The sequence below is a fragment of the Homo sapiens genome, chromosome 18 (genome assembly GCF_000001405.40).
Source record: "Homo sapiens chromosome 18, GRCh38.p14 Primary Assembly".
NCBI classification, from domain to species: Eukaryota; Metazoa; Chordata; class Mammalia; order Primates; family Hominidae; genus Homo; species Homo sapiens.
This window is the reverse complement of record NC_000018.10, coordinates 23,432,472-23,438,471: the sequence shown is the minus strand read 5'-3', so window position 1 is coordinate 23,438,471 and position 6,000 is coordinate 23,432,472. Positions and strand designations below refer to the sequence as shown.

The window sequence follows — 6,000 nt, the reverse complement described above, 5'->3', positions numbered from 1 at the left end:
TCCAGTTTTCCACCCTATAGACTAGGAATAGGAATAGGAATAGGGGCTGTGCTTGGGAAAGGGTTCTTATTTTATAGAAATGTCAAGAGAATGGAATGACTTTAAATACAAACAAAACTCAAAAAACCTATACTCAATTCCAGTTCCTTCTTCCTTCACCTTCCCTCTTTTAAGTGAACATTTGTTGCTGTTACCTTTTTTGTGTCATTTGCCAAAGCGCTACAGACTCAGTGGAGAAAATTGGGAAAATTCAGTGAAGCACGGGTAATATTTTGGTCTCATAGTTTAGAGATAGCGATGAACATTTTTCTTTAAACACTGATGGGGTATTGTGAACTGCGGTATGCTTTTTTCCTCTTCTGCCACTTTCTACTCTTTAAAAGAAGATAAAAAAATAAAAAATAAAAAATAAAAGAAGAATGACCGTCCTTCGAGGGCGCGGCCCCTTTAAGAAGGCAGACGCCGGGGGCGGTCCCCGCGCTGATTGGCGGAGCTCGGAGCCACGTGGCCGTCTCTGGGCGGCTGCTGCCGCTGCCGCTGCTGCTGCTGCGGGGGTCGGGCGGCGGCCAGGGGATTTGGGCAGGCACCGTGGATCCCCGAGAAGGGGACGAGTTGACAGATGTGCGTGAGGAGGTCTCTGGTCGGCCTCACCTTTTGTACCTGCTACCTGGCTTCTTACCTCACGAACAAGGTGAGGGGGCGGGCGCGGGAGGCAGCGATTGCACGTGGGAGGTTTGAGTCGGAGAATCTTCCCGTGACAAACGGAGCCTCCTCCTGCTTTTTACCTCATTCTTCCTGGTGGCGATGGAGATGGAGAGCGAACCTCCTCCGTGTGTGGGATGCTCTTTCAGAAATAGGATTTGCCAGCCTGTACTGTCCCCGTTTCCTGCACTGTAAAGCACGGTACATCTCCAGGGAAACAGGATTTTTGGGCTGGCCATTTCCCGGGAACTTGGTTTGGGGCTGTGTGGACTAGTTTTAAGAGAAAGCAAGCAATTGGCTCCTGCTCCCCCGGGGAGGAAGAGTCAGAAGAAATCTGACACATCCTGCCTTTTTTCTAAACACGCCCCTGTCCCAGAGCCCCCGTGAAGTTCCAGAAGCCTTTAAATAGAAGAGATTAAGCCGTCTCCCCCTCACACTGCTGATTCCCGAATCAATTTTTTTGTACGTCTCCATTGTAAGCACTTCAGGAGTTTTTCATGGAATTATTATTTTTTAAAATAAAACATACATTTAGTTTTAGGTTTAAACTAATGTCATGACATCATGAAAACCTTTTGGTGAGGAGGCAGAGAAGCAGTGGTGCCAGCTTTGGGGTTTTGTTTTGCAAGGAGAGGGAAGCTGGCTTTAGGTTTGGTACCACGCAGGGAAAGGTTGGATCCAATAGGACCGAGTGGGCATGGCTGGGGCATTACCTGCTGGCCTGGACTCTGGGCTGGCCCCAGCCAAAGTGGGAATACAGGGTGCAAGACCACCTGGCCCCACTGTGGGGTCTTACTGCGGGCTCCCCACCTGCTCCCCGCTCTTCCTTTCTCCTCTCTTCCTCTCTGGAAAAGAACCATCGACAAACAGCATTTCCTTCTACCTCCTCTCCTACAATGAATGGCTGCCTTTATATATTCAGAGGATGCTCCCCAACCCCCTTTCCTTCTCCAGTTGATTTTTATTTTTATTTTTTTGAGATAGAGTCTCGCTCTGTCACCCAGGCTGGAGTGCAGTGACGTGATCTCGGCTCACTGCAACCTCTGCCTCCTGGGTTCAAGCGATTCTCCTGCCTCAGCCTCGTGAGTAGCTGGGGCTACAGGTGTGCGCCACCACGCTGGGCTAATTTTTGTATTTTTAGTAGAGACGGGGTTTCACCATGTTGTCCAGGCTGGTCTCGAACTCCTGACCTCAGGTGATCCGCATGCCTCAGCCTTCCAAAATGCTGAGATTACAGGTGTGAGCCACTGCGCCTGGCCTCCAGTTGATTTTTAGTTATGGCGATAAGCCTTTGAAGGTCCATAAATGCAGCCTTCCTGGGAGGCAGTGATGGGTTTTACTTCCTGGCTCCACTTACTTGGCGTTTGGAACCTTACTCTTTCTAAACCTAAGTTTCTTAACTTTAAGATGGGACAAAGAGTCCTCTTGAAATTGTTGTTGTGGCCCGGGCGTGGTGGCTCACGCCTGTAATCCCAGCACTTTGGGAGGCCGAGGCGGGTGGATTGTTTGAGGCCAGGAGTTCGAAACCAGCCTGGCCAGCATGGCGAAACCCCGTCTCTACTGAAAATACAAAAATTAGCCAGGCGTGGTGGCAGGCGCCTGTAATTCCAGCTACTCAGGTGGCTGAGGTAGGAGAATCACTTGAACCTGAGAGGCGGAGGTTGTAGTGAGCCGAGATCGCATTCCAGCCTGGGCAACAGAGCAAGACTCAGTTTCAAAAAAAAAAAAAAAAAAAAGAGAAAGTGTTGTTGTGAGAGTTAATGGAAATGGTGTTGGCCAGGCACAGTGGCTCAGGCCTGTAATCCGAGCACTTTGGGAGGCTGAGGTGAGCGGATCGCTTGAAATCAGGAGTTTGAGACCAGCCTGGTAAATATGGTGAAACCCCATCTCTACTAAAAACACAAAAATTAGCCAGGCATGGTGGTGGGCACCTGTAATCCCAGCTACTCAGGAGGCTGAGGCATGAGAATCTCCTGAGCCAGGGAGGCGGAGGTTGCAGTGAGTGGAGATCACGCCACTGCGCCTGCAGCCTGGGCAATAGAGCCAGACTTCGTCTGAACAACAACAAAAGAAATGATGTTTGTAAGGTAGGTGGCCTAGTGCTTGCCATTGTGGCAAACTATAAGATAAACGGTCGTTACTCTGGAAGAAAAGGACAATCTTTTGTTTATACTGTGACAGTAATTAGTAACTTTTAACAGATTTGTTTTCTTCTCATGGGACAAGTAGCTAAACTAAAAGCAGTTTTTTTGGTTTGCTTGTTTGTTTGTTTGTTTGTTTTTTGTAGCACCTATTCAGAAATTTGTGAATTTGTGAAATCTCTGGCTTTTTCAATTTAACTCTTCTAATTTGTCTAGCGAACCTGATGGATATAATGATAAAATTTTACTTTAAAACAGAATAACCTTTCTTTTATTTCCACATAATCACTAGAAGGGGTAGATTAACACATCTGTCATGAAAGCCCATGAGCCATGGCATTGGTTAGATAAAAAACATTTTATCTAAGCAAAAAAAAAAGCAGACAAATAGCATTTAGTTCATAGAAATTTATGCCCCTCTTTGGATGTACATTTTCTTTCTTTCTTTTCTTTTCTAATTTTTTTTTTTCTGAGACACAGGCTCACTCTGTCACCCAGGCTGGAGTGCAGTGGTGTGATCTCGGCTCACCACAACCTCCGCCTCCCAGGTTCAAGCGATTCTAGTGCCTCAGCCTCCCGAGTAGCTGGGACTACAGGTGTGCACCACCATGCTGGGCTAATATTTATATTTTTAGTAGAGATGGAGTTTCGTCATGTTGGCCAGGCTGGTCTTGAACTCCTGACCTCAGGTGATCCGCCCACCTCAGCCTCCCAAAGTGCTGGGATTACAGTCATGAGCCACCACTCCTGGCCTGGATGTACATTTTCATTTGTGGCACTTTTTCAAAATTTTTTGGAGCCCCATGGCCTTTTATAAATTTTTGTTTGTTTGTTTTTTGAGACAGGGTCTTCTGTCACCCAGGCTGGAGTGCAGTGGTGCAATCATGGCTTACTGTAACCTCTGCCTCCTAGGCTCAAGCGATCCACACACCTCAGCCTCCTCAGTAGCTGGGACTACAGGCGTGCGCCACCATGCCTGGCTAATTTTTGTATTTTTTTTAATAGAGACGAAGTTTTGCCATGTTACTCAGGCTAGTTTTTAACTCCTGGGCTCAAGCGATCTGCCCACCTTGCCTTGGCCTCCCAAATGCTGGGATTATAGGTATAAGCCACTGTGCCCAGCCAACAAATTTAATAAAAGGACAAAATACCTTCCATGTGCATAATGCATCTATGTATTAGATGAAATTAAACCAAATTGTTTGGTCCCAGGAATATATAATCTGAATAATCGAAATCGTAGCTGACCAAGGGTCCCGAGAATGTAAATACAATGGTTTGGAATGCTTTGGCTTGGGGATGTTGGGAAGTGTCAGAGCTAGTGGAAAGAGTAGGTCAAGAACAGCAGAAGGCAGGAAAGAAGGGGAGACCAAGGAGATTGTCTACAGAGGGAGGAGGAGGTGAGCTCGAGAGTGGAGGAGAGGAGATGGGAGAGCCAGGTAGGTTGTACATTATGGGACTCTGGTGAGGAACTTTATATCTCTTATAAGCTTGAACCTTTTATGGCCATTGTTTCATCTTCTCAAGCAGGATGGTGATGCTCCCTTCTGGTAACCAAGGCTGGGTGGGTCGGCTTGGACTAAGTAGAGGCCAACTGGGAAGAAATCTGCAGTGGACACCCCATGAGCATATTCATTCTACTATGAGCATATCCTACTATGAGCATATTCTATTATGAGCATATTGTACTCTAATGTGGCAGAGAGCATGTAATTTCTCTGCCACATTAATTTTCTTTTGAATTAGTGAAGTTTTTTTTTTGTCTAAAGTAGAGGATGCTCTCTTCTAGTTTTTTGAAGCCTCCATTTCAGTTTATTTCCATTTTTTTTAGTGTAATTTTCTCCTTCAGCAGTTCTCCTATTTATTCGTAGAAAGAAAATTCTTTTGAAAAAGATCTTATATAGCTCATTCTGACCCCCTTCTATTGTTTGAAAGAATGGTCGATATTTGTTAGAAGTTTGAAGCAGCAAGTGTGCTGTCAAAGGAAGCTGCCCTAGGTAGGGAGGGAGGAGAAAGCACCACACCCTTGAGCTCTGGCTTGGTGGCCTGGGCTGGCCCTGGCTGATGACGTGTTCCTCCATCCTTTGGGAGGTTCCAGCTGTAATCAGGCCCTAGGCAGCCAGCTGTCCTTCTTCCCCTCATAGCAATTGAGCCTTCAGCTCAGAGGCAAAGTTCATTTCTGTTCTGGACAAGTGGTTGGCATCTGTAAAATACAAAGAATTTATTAAATTAATAAATACTAAAACCTCAGTGAAAATAAATGGGTAAACAGCAGAAGTAGACAATTCACTGAAAAAAGAGATACAAGGCCAGGCACAGTGGCTCATGCCTGTAATCCCAGCACTTTGAGAGACCAAGACAGGTGGATCATCTGAGGTCAGGAGTTCGAGAGTAGCCAAAAATTAGCTGGGCATGGTGGTGCGTGCCTGTAGTCATGGCTACTTGGGAGGCTGAGGCAGGAACACCACTTGAACTGGGAGGCAAAGGTTGCAGTGAGCCAAGATTGCATCATTACATTCCAGCCTGGGTGACAGAGCAAGACTCCATCTCAAAAAAAAAAAAGAAAAGAGTTACAAGTGGATAATAAGCATAAGAAATTTGCTTGCATGCCTTTCAATGGCTCCAATTTTTTTTTTTTTTTTTTTTTTTGAGACAGAGTCTTGCTCTGTTGCCAAGGCTGGAGTGCAGTGGTATGATCTTGGCCCACTGCAACCTCTGCCTCCCATGCTTAAGTGATCCTCCCACCTCAGCCTCCCAAGTAGCTGGGAGCACAGCTTGCACAACCATGTCCGGCTAATTTTTGTATTTTTTGTCAAGATAGGGTCTCACCATGTCGCCCAGGCTGGTCTTCAACTCCTGGGCTCCCGCCTTGGCCTCCCAAAGTGCTGGAATTACAGGCGTCAATGGCTCCCAAATTGCTCCTTCTCTTTCTTTTTTTTTTTTTTTTTGAGAAGGAGTCTCACTCTGTCTCCTAGGCTGGAGTGCAGTGGCTCAATCTCGGCTCACTGCAACCTCCACCTCCCGGGTTCAAGTGATTATCCTGCCGCAGCCTCCTGAGTAGCTGGGGTTACAGGCGCATACCACCACGCCCGGCTAATTTTTGTATTTTTAGTAGAGACGGGGTTTCACTATGTTGGTCAGGCTGGTCTCGAACTCC

General features: G+C 46.5%; 1 protein-coding gene across 23 annotated transcripts in view, besides 1 other annotated feature; it reads left to right on the top strand.

Annotated features, from left to right (window-relative positions):
- Positions 383-482: a silencer, noted in NCBI's record as "silent region_9356". NCBI's record gives its function as "represses an Ori minimal core promoter by ATAC-STARR-seq in GM12878 lymphoblastoid cells {active_cell/tissue: GM12878}" and the evidence as "EXISTENCE:reporter gene assay evidence [ECO:0000049][PMID:35858748]".
- The window catches only part of SLC35D4 (solute carrier family 35 member D4), a 199,440-nt gene continuing 193,950 nt past the window's right edge, over positions 511-6,000 (top strand). For all 23 annotated transcript variants that reach the window (NR_148382.2, XR_001753290.3, NR_148384.2 and 20 more), the window contains exon 1: positions 511-691. Coding sequence is in view for 12 of the 23 variants with exons in the window: in XM_047437896.1 (XP_047293852.1) it covers positions 620-691 (72 nt within the window). In the remaining 11 variants the exon portion in view is untranslated. The remainder of the gene's footprint in view (positions 692-6,000) is intronic.